The 12,032-nt window shown below is 42.2% G+C and overlaps 1 protein-coding gene and 1 pseudogene across 8 annotated transcripts in view; one reads left to right on the top strand and one right to left on the bottom strand.

Annotated features, from left to right (window-relative positions):
• SPTLC1 (serine palmitoyltransferase long chain base subunit 1) overlaps positions 1-6,104 on the top strand; it is an 84,267-nt gene extending 78,163 nt beyond the window's left edge. For 7 of the 8 annotated variants that reach the window (NM_006415.4, NM_001368272.1, NM_001368273.1 and 4 more), the window contains 2 exons: positions 2,368-2,441; positions 4,693-6,104. In NM_006415.4, coding sequence (NP_006406.1) covers positions 2,368-2,441; positions 4,693-4,786 — 168 coding nt within the window. In that variant the 3' untranslated portion in view covers positions 4,787-6,104. The remainder of the gene's footprint in view (positions 1-2,367; positions 2,442-4,692) is intronic. The other variant, NM_001281303.2, reaches the window with a different exon arrangement.
• On the bottom strand, positions 9,430-9,753 carry HSPE1P22 (heat shock protein family E (Hsp10) member 1 pseudogene 22; annotated as a pseudogene).

Below are 12,032 nucleotides of genomic sequence, written 5' to 3'. Positions count from 1 at the left end.
CCAGGCCCTGTCCTGAGCCTCATCCGCCTAGACAGCCTCTCAGGCAGGCTCTTCTAGGCCACATGGCTGTGCAGTATACAGACCGGGTGTGCAGGCAGCCTCTGCTGCCTAGCTGGCTTCAGCTGTCCTATGTCCCAAATGTTTGAGCCACGTAATCTGGAATAACAGATTTGTGGAGAACTTCATAAAATTTGTGGTCTTCTAGAGTCAATTACATTAAAAAATAAATAAAAAGCCCCAGGATCTGAGCTTCCTAAGGAAACATGTCAGATTATGAATGATCAGGCTGGAGCTACTTATCTTGTGAGGTGAGGAAATGCAGCTGATGTCCCCTCAGGCACAACTCTGTGGACATGAAGACTCTCTAGACAGGGAAAAACATCCCACTGCCTGCTTTACTGCCTCATTGTTTGTATTGTAACGTTCCTTAAATACAGACAAACACAAAACTAAGTATGACATCTTTGTGATTAGAGTTCTCATACAAATGGAAAACTAAAACGCATTTATACATTAAATACAAACTAAATGGACAAGCCAGTAAAATTCCCATTCATTTCATTACCTTCATGAGGCAGGTGAATTTGTTTTTTTCAATGGACTTGCCCCAGCGGGACAGCTGAGAGCTGTGTTCACAGAGCAGGCTCATGAGCTGCATGCGCTGGTGTTGGGTCTGAGTAATGGCTCCGCCGTTCTCACTGAGTCTCTTCTCGAACTGCATCAGGACAGTTGTCCACACATGCTTCATGTTGAGGGACAGTTGCCTCCTTCAGATGCCAGTGTATTCATTGCATAGTAAATCCACCTCTGTTCTCTTTTCATTAGATAGCAACAGCTAAAGTCTTACTACTGCTTTGTACCAAAGAGACGCAGAGGAGGACGTGCGAATGAAGCAACTCGGTGTTAAAATACCATGCTTACAGGAATTAGCCACGTAATGAAAGAGGAAACGAAAAGTCTGTGGACAGCTCACAGATCCCAAACTCCTGTCTGTGGGCCTGGTTTGATACTGGCTCTCTTAAGGAAATCCTCTTGAGAGTTGAGTGAGAAGAGAACAATCTGGGGTAGGGAACAGAATACTATCTAGAAACTTCATTGATAGAAAAAATACATATATCTTCCCGCTTCTGTGCATCATCACAGCTTCCATTTTTAAAATCTTCCGAATCTTTTGTTCCACTCCCCTCATCTTTTCAATATTTGAAGGAAAGAAAAGAACCATGCTGCTGTAACTCTTATTTAAGCTTTGTAGATCTGAGAGGCTTTGCCAAGTTTATGTTGAGTTGCTCAACAGGACACTGTTTTTACAAACTGAGCTATTGTTTATAATGTCTCTTAACCAGCCAGGGCTAGAAACAGAGCCAGTCCAGATGTTTGCAGGAGTTCACTTTTCCAAGTACACTTCCAGAGCCTAGAGTCAGCGGGAGGCTGTTGTCATTGCCTAGTATGGTTTTTCCATCTCTTCCTCGCAGCCTACGACGTGACCCCTCTTCAGGCAGATACTTTTACTGCCAGAGACATGGAATAATTGTTCTTTCCTTTACACTGCCCTTTGCTCTGTTGCTATTTTTTTTTAATATAACTCACATACCACATACCATAAAATTCACCCTATTGAAGTATATCGTTAAGTGGCTTTTAGTATCATACATTCAGCAGGTTGTGCAACCATTACTATCTCATTCCAAAACTTTTTCATCACTCCAGAAAGAAACCCCTGTAGCCTATTACCTTGCTCTGGTGTTTGTGCTTTCTTTATTTTAGTAGAGATTGTTTTCATTTTTTCTTAATGTTGACAGATGGTTAATATATAGGAAAGCTGGGTAAAACTTTGTTAACGCCAGATTCTGCAGTGCCCAGTGGCACCATGCCCAGATGCCACATGTGGACATCGTTTTTGCTAATATCTGAAGTGCAGTGGTTTTTCTCTGACGCAGTTCTACTGGTGGTGGTGGTCATAAGTCCAGCCTGCAGGACTTTGCTCGCACCACTTCCTCATGTGCTAACTCTGCTTTGTCTAAATGGTAGTCACTAGCTAGCTATGGCTGTTTGAATTTAAACTAAGTGGAAATAAGAAAAGGTGCAACTGTGACCTCTCAGTAGCACCAGCCATATCTCCGTGTGCTCAGCAGGCACACAGGGCTCATGGCGACTGCTGGGCACTACACAACAGAGGTATTTGTCATTGCAGAAAGTTCTGTGGACAGTGCTGCCAAGGTGGTGGTGTAGTATTTTGGTGATATCTTCTAGCAATTATAATTGGAAAAGTGAATTAAAGCTACCGTTGCAGGATTTCAGCGTTCCCCCAGTTTAATTACCACCATGTCTGAAGTCCAGGTTGCAGATGTCTTCTTTTTCTTCCTACAGTGCATGAACAGAAGTATTGCATTAACTCAGGCGCGCTACTTGGAGAAAGAAGAGAAGTGTCTCCCTCCTCCCAGGTCAGTTGACGTTAAAATATGACCTTATTTTTTTCCCCTACTCTGAGCTCTATGAAATACGTTATCTTTTGAAAAATTTTGAAAGACTATCATAGGCTATGGAAGAATATCTGTCATTAAAATATAGTACATTACCTGTCTTCTGCTCTTAAACTAGAAGTTTCTAAAATTTTAACTGAAAAGCTCCCAAGGACTCACTGAGTACCCTCTCAGTTAACTCAGAGAAATGTCTGGGAGCCCAGCAATGAACTTGGGCAAACTGAGTTTCCATCAGCTCATATCTGCCACATCTGAAAGGTGGCACATGCCACACCAGGAGTTCCTGCCACAAGGACCGTCCTGCAGGGAAGATCGGCAGTGTGGGGTGGGGGTGGGCATGCGCCTCTGCTGCTCCTTCAGTCAGCAACACTCAGTAACATTTGAGAAAAAACAAGCAACAGTGGGGAAAATGTACAGCATCAAGAAAAAACACCAAAAGTGAAAGACTAATGTCTTACTTTTAAGGAGACTGGATTCTGTTCACAAAGCATATACGAGGTAGTCCAAGGAGTTGGCCATCCCACCACAGCACTGGGCCAGGCAGTCACAGCAGGGGGCATGGACATGGTCAGTTCTGCCCTGGGGCATTGCTCAGGCTTTTGAGAGCAGGCGATGTCTACACCAAAACTAGAGAAGTGTGTGTGTCGGGCATCCTGTGGGCATCGTGGCTTTCCATCAGATGAGGTGGTGTGTGCTTTGCTCAGGGTTTTCAGTGGCTTGGAGACCTCCAGGTTCATCTGGGAGTACAGAGTGCAAGCCGCAGAAGAGCTGGAGAGAAGGGTCCTGAGGCCAGGTGCCAAGTCAGGGAGGCTGCAGGAGAGCCCACTGGGGAGTTTGAATGCTCTGCCGGCCCACAGTGCCAGACCAGGATTTGGAAGATCACTCTGGTAGCAGCTCAAAGCACCTTAAGGAGCCTGCCCTTTTCAGCCAGGTGCAGTGGCCCACACCTGTAACCTCAACACCTGGGAGACCGAGGTGGGCAGATCACTTGAGCCCAGGAGTACAAGACCAGCCTGGGCAACATGGTGAAACCCCATCTCTGTAAAAATTAGCCAGGCATAGTGGTGCACGCCTGTGGTCCCAGCTACTTGGGAGGCTGAGGTGGGAAAATCACCTGGTTCCAGGAGGTCAAGGCTGCAGTGAGCTGAGATCACTCCATTGCACTCCAGCCTGGGCTGCCCCCTTCATTTTTTATTGCACTCATCCAAAGGTGTAATCCTACATCCTACGTTTACTTGTTAGTAAGACCGTAGGTGCATGAGGACGGGAGCCGTGCTGGTTTTGTGCCCTCAGGACTCCATGCACAGCATAGTACAGCTCAATAAATATGTGTCAAATGCATGAAACAGATGTTTACAGATGAACTCTGGGGGACAGAGGTAGCATTGTCCTTTCAAGCTATTATTTCTTTGATTTCCTGAAAACTTGAAAATTTCTGCCATGCCTTAGAGTATTACAGAGCTTTCACATTGCTATTGACATAAATACGAACAATCAAACTGTCGTTGATTTGAGAAGGATGGAATTCCTGCTTTGTGCCTGGCACTGCCTGAAGCAGTACATGATGGACAGGATGCTATTTCCCAGCTTCTGAGGCAGAGCCCACGGAAACTCACTCTGACTGGGTGTGCACTGGTGTGGTGTAGGCCGAGGCCTTCAGGCTGCAGATTCCCTGCCGCAGCAACCCACCTGCCACAGTAGTGAGAAAGTGACTGTGGGCAGCAGGTACATGAATAGACAGGCCTATTGGGAGGACTGCCAGGAGAGGTTTGTTTACAAAAATAGGCAGTGGATTTGGCTCTCAGGCCATATATGGTTGACTGTGAGTGCAGTTCCTCACCTCACATAGATAATTCTTTTTTCTGTTTGTTTGTTTTTGGTTTTTTTTTTTTTTTGAGACAGAGTCTCACTCTGTTGCCCAGGCTGGAGTGCAATGGCGCGATCTCGGCTCACTGCTAGCTCCGCCTCCCAGGTTCACGCCATTCTCCTGCCTCAGCCTCCCAAGTAGCTGGGACTACAGGCACCCGCCACCACACTGGCTAATTTTTTGGTATTTTTAGCAGAGATGGGGTTTCACTGTGTTAGCCAGGATGGTCTCGATCTCCTGACCTCGTGATCCACCTGCCTTGGCCTCCAAAGTGCTGGGATTACAGGCGTGAGCCACTGCGCCTGGCCCACAAAGATAATTCTTTGTGTCCTTTACTGTTCTCAGCATTCGGGTTGTGGTCACGGTGGAACAAACAGAGGAAGAACTGGAGAGAGCTGCGTCCACCATCAAGGAGGTAGCCCAGGCCGTCCTGCTCTAGGCAGAGTCCCGGGACCATGGCCTCCTGCCACACAACACGCAGAGAGGACTCAAGACTCCCGCTGGCCATGGAGTGGCCTGAAAGAGAGCAAGAACATGTGGATCTTTGATAGGATTGTTACCAAATGGTGTCAGTATGGACCAATTGTGTGACCATGAGAAGGATGCTTATTTTTTTTAAAAAGAAAACACATCTAAAAGCCCAGGAACTGATTTTTTTAAGAGGAAAACTAATGACAGTGTATAACTGATGTTTAAATTGTGCATTTAGTACTATTTAAATGTTTTCTTATACTAGTATTTTATATTCTTTTGTTGTCGTTTAAAACTGGAGCTTCAGTGTCTCTTCCCTCCCTCTAATAGTAATGGTTCAGTAAGCACTCCTTAACTCCTTAGTATTTCATAGAAAAATGACTGCAACATTAAAGCTAAGAGGAACACTTCAACATATGTGGTACAAATTTATATTGAAGATCTAAATAAACCACGTATTTTCCAGTCTTCGTTGTGTGAAGCTAAATGGTGGCTAAAAGGAACACTTTTTGTGTGATTATTATAAACTTTGCATTGTATTTGAATCTTAGAACTTTTGTACACACTAAATATTGATGTCACACCATTTCTAATCTGAGCATCCTTAGCCAGAGAATATTCATTATACTTCCTAAGTGAGCAATAATTTAAATCAGAAGCTATTTTATTTTAATGTAATTAACCTTTCTTTACATTTCTTATGTGTTCACCTCTAATCTGTTTTAGGAAGAGAGTTGGTTATTATGTTGATCCCATAATATAAATCATATCCTTTATATTTTAGAATATCTCAAATGTATTCCTTTTTTGTATGGTGGGTTTGCCTAGGGACGTGTAACTACAGGCTTTTACTAAGCCAAGGAAAAAGAGAATTTTTCTTTTCATCTTACAAATTCCAGATATCTACAAAAGATGTGAAAGCACTAAAAATACCATTTTTAAGCAGTACTTTACCTGTTTTTTCTTTAGCAAACCAGGTTATGTGGTGTAAAGGTTTGTTATACGTGCCACAATATAGCATATAAATATTATGCCATCATTCCTTCTCTTGTTAAAGGTAGAAGAATAAAATTGTGATTTTTATAACCTGTGCTTATTACTCAAATGGTCTTCAACATCTTTTTAAACAACACATACTTTTTGAATGTTCAGTTTCTATTTTGCTTGAGGTATTTTGTACATATGTGCCTTGTGATTGCTGCTGCTTTAAAGGATAAAGTACTCTTTGGGGGATGAGTCTGGTTTGTTTTGTTTTATTTTTTAATGAAATAAACCTATATTCCTGATTATTAGTCTATTTGCATATGTAATATATCCAACAGAATAGTCTCTTAATTTTAACTTTTTTGCACTGGGGTAGTATTCTTTGTTGTTTGGTCTTATTTTAGAAAATAACAATTAAATTTCTTAGTTCCTTTTTTCACATCCAACCAAAGAATATATAGTATCTGAAGTTTCCTAGGTTCTTGCTGACCTCATAGGACTACAAAAATATCATGGCCATTATTTTCATAAATAACTGTTCAGCTTCTTTTAGAATACTTTCTAAGTGAAAATAGCAACATCAAAATAATGTTTGTAATAAACTTTTTGAAAATATGATCAGGAGTTTCTGGGAAAGATGGCGGATCAGGCACATTATTTCAGTCCTTAAAACCAACATTGTAAACGAAAGGAACCAAAAGTAAAATTTTTGTGTTAAAATTATAGAGTGACCACAATCCAGTAATATACACCACGATGAAATGTCTACTAGAAACAGTAAAATTTGGATCAAACTGAAGCAAAATGCTGAGAAAGTACAGTCATCTCAAATCTGGACCAAGTTACAAATTCCTCTTTTACAGAGTGAGAAGTTTCCAGAGTGCTCTACCAATGATCTGTGTTTTAAAAGGCAGTGGCTTGGGGTGAGCAGTGTAGAGACCATTGGGAGCCCATTTCCACTCAGCAGGACTGTCCGCAGGGAAGAAGAGAACCACACCACCTTTTTATTGTCTGTGACTAAATTCTAACTTCAGGAAAAGTAGGGCTTTGGGGCAAGTTGGGACAGAAAATACACCAGTTATTTCATCAAATTCAGTACTTCACTAATTGTACCATGTGTACTTTTTTTATGTACCACTAGAAGAAAATAATTCTATCTGTATTATGCTGTAAGATGTCTTCCAATATTAGAGATATTACAATGTGGGTAGAGAAGATGTATCTTTAAGTCTATGAAATAATAATCATCTGATGTGTGGGCCTCATGCCATCTTTCCTTGTGGGCATAAAACCTTAGTCCCAGAAGATAGAGATGTCCAACATGTAAATCTGAATATCTCCATGCATCTTTCCAAAACACTGTCCCTATGATGACATCAAATAAAAACATTCATAACGTACACCTAACAGTATGGGTTAAGCTATGGAGGATGCTTAAACTTCATTTCCTTACTTATTTCCTGGTGAAGAGGAGTAGGAAGCTTAAGGATGATGGAACACAGATAAAATAACTCATCTCGACAGCAACATTTTCTAGAGATTTGAAGGAAGAAGGAAATGTGATTCAAGGATTTTATTTCCACAAAGCAGTCTTTCAAGTAACAAAGTTATAGAAAAACAATTTAAAATTAGAATTTAATACTTCTTTTTGAGCCCTTCCTGAGGGAACCACTAGGGGAAAGCATCTGATTAAGAAATGCAAGGCCGGGCATGGTGGTTCACACCTGTAATCCCAGCATTTTGGAAGGCCAAGGCAGGAGGACTGCTTGAGATCAGGAGTTTGAAACCAGCTTGGGGAACATAGCGAGACCTGATGTCTACAAAAATAAAAGCCAGACATGGTGGTGTGCACCCGTAGTCCTAGATACTTGAGAGGCTGAGGCAGGAGGATGATGTGAGCCTAGGAGGTCAAGGCAGTCATGAGCTGTGATTCCAGCACTGCACTCCAGCCTGGGCAACAGAGTGAGACCGTGTCTCAAAGAAAAAAAGCAGAATGATAATCTGTCATGAGATTGGAGTTTTTAAAAAGTAAAATACTTTAATGTGTGTAAATTATACCTTGCGAATTAACTCAAAACCAAATAAAGCATGTTCTCACTTAGGAGCTAACCACCGCATACTCATGGACGTGAAGATGGGAACAATACATACTGACTGTGGGAAAGGAAGGAGGCAGGGCAAGGGTTGAAAAACCATTGGGTACTATGCTCAACACCTTGATGATGAGATCATTTGTACCCCAAACCTCAGCATCATGCAGTATACCCAGGTAAGAAACCTGCATATGTACCCCTAAATCTAAAAGTTGAAAAAAAATAATTTACTTATAGTGTATTATGTAAATAGGTGGGGTACAGTAGAAAAATATTTAGACAAATGGAATGCTAGAAGTACAAAAACGGGATTAGGTACATTATAGGAAGTTGTATTATAAAGATAACTAGTAGAATAAAAACATAAAACTTCCTAAATTCAAAAAAAAGCAAAATTAGACCCTATACAGGGGAAAAATAATAAATATAATGCAATACACACAGAAAATACACCCAAGTATCAAAACTGCACTGTACCCCCTGAATCTATAAAAAATTTTTAAAAATACAACAAAATAGCATGAGGTGAGACTAAGCATATTAATCATACAGTGAATGGGCATCCACTTACTTTTTTTTTTTTTTTTTTTTGACACAGGGTCTCACTCTGTTTCCTAGGCTGGAGTGCAGTGGTGCAATCACAGCTCATTGCAGCCTCAACTTCCTGGGCTCAAGCTGTCCTCCTGCCTCAGCCTCCTGAGTAGCTCGGACTACAGGTGTGGGCCACAATGCCTGGCTAATTTTTTAAATATTTTTGTAGGGACAGAGTTTTACTCTGTTGCCCAGGCTGATCTCAAACTGCTGGGCTCAAACAGTGTGCCCACCTCGGTCTCCCAAAATGCTAGGATTACATGCATGAGCCACTGCACCTGGCCCATGCACTTTATTTCTACTCCAAGAAAAAATTTTCAAATTGGTTCACAAAGCAAAACACAAACTCTGCTATATACAAGAGACAAGAAAAGCTAAACATGGCTGGGCACAGTGGCTCACGCCTGTAATCCCAGCACTTTGGGAGGCCGAAGCAGGTGGATCACCTGAGGTCAGGAGTTCAAGACCAGCCTGACCAACGTGGAGAAACCCTGTCTCTACCAAAAATACAAAAATTAGCTGGGTGTGGTAAGAAAGAACTCTTCACCCAGAGATTCCAAAATACATAGTCTTTTCAAGTGTACATGAAATATTCTCCAGGATAGACCACATGCTGAGCCATAAAACAAGTCTCAGTAAATCTAAAAAGATTGAAGTCATAAAAAGTATATTATCTGTCCACAATATGATTAAATCAGACATCCACAGTAGAAAGGCAACTGGAAAACACTCAAATTAACTGGTATGCTCCTAAATAACCCACAGATCAAAGAAATACACAAAGGAGGTTTTTAAATGTTACGAACTGAATGAATTAAATGCAATATATCAAAAAAATGTAGTTACTAGTTTTATTATAAAAAACATTATTTGCATGATGAAAGATTACAGAATTTCAGTGGGCAGCTTCATGTTGATGCCATTTCAATAGTGATTTGTTTCAGTCTACATACTTTTCAAGAATGTCTGCCATCTCTTAATAAGATACAATCCTTGTCATCTAGAACTATTTTGGTGTCTCCATATTCTGGAGGAAATTTATTTTTGACTTTCATGCTAACTGGTTGAATCTCTCCACCTTTTCCCTTATAGCCTCATCCAGCAGCCACTACTATTGCTTGCAATACTTTTCCTTTAGATTTTTCTGGAAGCCTAATGTCTCCTTTGGTTACAGTTTCTGCTGCACTCCTTTCAACCAATATTTGCCTTTCAACCAATACTTTCTTCCAAAGAGTGGAAGAAACTTTCCAAATGCTGGTCCTGCCATGACTCCTGTAGCAGCCACAGCTCATATTCTGCTCTCGTGCTGCCATCACAGGCCAACAAATCAAAGTTTATGTGAGGCAGCTAAAGCAGTGGTTAAGAGGAAATTTATACAGGTTTTAAATGCCTGTATCAGAAAAGGAACATCCCAGTAATAACCTAAGCTTCTGCCTTAAAGTAAAACCCCAAAGCAAGTAGAAGGAAGGAAATAAAGATTAGAGAGGCTTTTTTTTTTTTTTTTTTTTTTTTTGAGACGGAGTCTCGCTCTGTCACCCAGGCTGGAGTGCAGTGGCGCGATCTTGGCTCACTGCAAGCTCCACCTCCCGGGTTCACGCCATTCTCCTGCCTCAGCCTCCCGAGTAGCTGGGACCACAGGCGCCCGCCGCCACGCCCGGCTAATTTTTTTGTGTTTTTAGTAGAGACGGAGTTTCACCGTGTTAGTCAGGATGGTCTCGATCTCCTGACCTTGTGATCCTCCTGCCTCAGCCTCCCAAAGTGCTGGGATTACAGGGGTGAGCCACCGTGCCTGGCCTAGAGAGGATTTTTTTTTTTTTGGAAAAATATCAATAAACATTTATTTGATACAGTCATTTTAATACATACAGTGATGGCTCGTCCCCAGGCTACTCGGGACCAGGGTACGGGGCGGGGACGAGGACCGGGGACAGATGGTCACAAGGCGGGCGGGGCCCGAGTTCACCGTCGAAACATCTTGCAAATAAACACTTTGTAGATAGACTATATATGTATATATACATGGTTACAAGTGATGGCTGGAACCTCTTTCAAAATGCGCTTATGTACTGAGAACTAGCATTAAAAAAACCCAAACCAAGAAACCCAAAGCACAGGACGCGCGGCCGCGAGGCAGGGGAGAGCCTGGGGCCCCTGACCCGGGCCTGGGGGAGCCGCCTGGGGCCCGCCAAGCAGGGCACACGGGGACGGCCCTTCCTGGGGTCAGGCTCACTGGCTCCTTCCCTTCAGCGCCACCAGGCAGGAAGGCCAACAGTCACACAGGAGGCACCCTCACTTGCCTTTGCACCAGTAAATAAAGTGCATCCTATTTCCGTGTGAGCCAGTCCTTCCGGGCCCTTTCCTGTTCTCAGGGCAGGGGGCGTGCGCTGAACCAGAGGTAGATCTGCATAAAGATCCCCGACTGGTCCTCAGGCAGGGCCGGCACCCACCACACTCTAGGGGTCTTGGTCCCTCTCAGGGCTCCTGGAGGCCTGTATGGGCCAGCGTGGGTAGTGGGCTGACTCTGCTGAGCTCCACCCAGGGCCCTACCCCTTGGGAGGAGGGCTCTGCAGACCAGCATGTGGGAGAGGGAGGGCAGAAAGAGAGGACTTTTTTTAAATAAAGAAAATTAATGAAATCAAAAGACTTTCTTTAAAAGACATCAACAAAACTGACAAACCTTTAACTGGACTAACCAAGAAAATAACAGAGAAGACATAAATTGCCAAAATTAGGACCTGAAGAGGTAACATCACTACCAATCCCACAGAAACTAGACAACTTAAATGACACGAATGTATTCCAAGAAAGACGCAAATTATCAAACTCTGGAATAAAAAGAAAATCTGCCAGGGTGGTGGCTCACGCCTGTAATCTCAGCACTTTGGGAGGCTGAGGTGGGTGGATCACTTGAGGTCAGGAGTTCAAGACAGCCTGGCCAACATGGTGAAACCCTGTCTCTACTAAAAAGACAAAAATTAGCCGGGCTCCATGGCATGCGCCTGTAGTCCCAGCAACTCCAGAGAGAATCACTTTTGAGCCTGAGGGGCAGAGCTTGTAGTGAGCTGAGATGGCGCCACTGCACTCCAGCCTGGGCAACAGGATTGAAACCCTGTCTCAAAATAAATAAATAAATAGAAAATCTAATAGACTATCACAACTAAAGAAATTGAATTAATAATTTAAAATATTTTCACAAAAATATCCATGTACAGGTAGACACTAGGGAATTCTGTCAAATATTTAAAGAAAAAGTAGTACTAATCACTCACAAATTTCTTTCAGAAAAATTGAGAAGGTGGCAACATCTCACAATTCATTGTATGAGATTATTATTATGTTGATTCCAAAGCCAGACAAATTACAAGAAAACTGCATATGAATTTCCCTCCTGAACATAGACACAAATATCTTTAACTCCTTTTCAAAACGGTGTTCAAGAATCTAGCCTATATAATAAAGCTAAAAAAGAAAATTAAAAGCATCCAGATTGGAAAGCATCCAGTTTAAAAAACAATTCTATGTATAATGTCAAAGAGAATAAAATAA

This window comes from Homo sapiens, chromosome 9 (assembly GCF_000001405.40).
Source record: "Homo sapiens chromosome 9, GRCh38.p14 Primary Assembly".
NCBI lineage: Eukaryota > Metazoa > Chordata > Mammalia > Primates > Hominidae > Homo > Homo sapiens.
The sequence above is the reverse complement of the archived record's forward strand: the minus strand, read 5'-3'. Positions and strand labels throughout refer to the sequence as shown.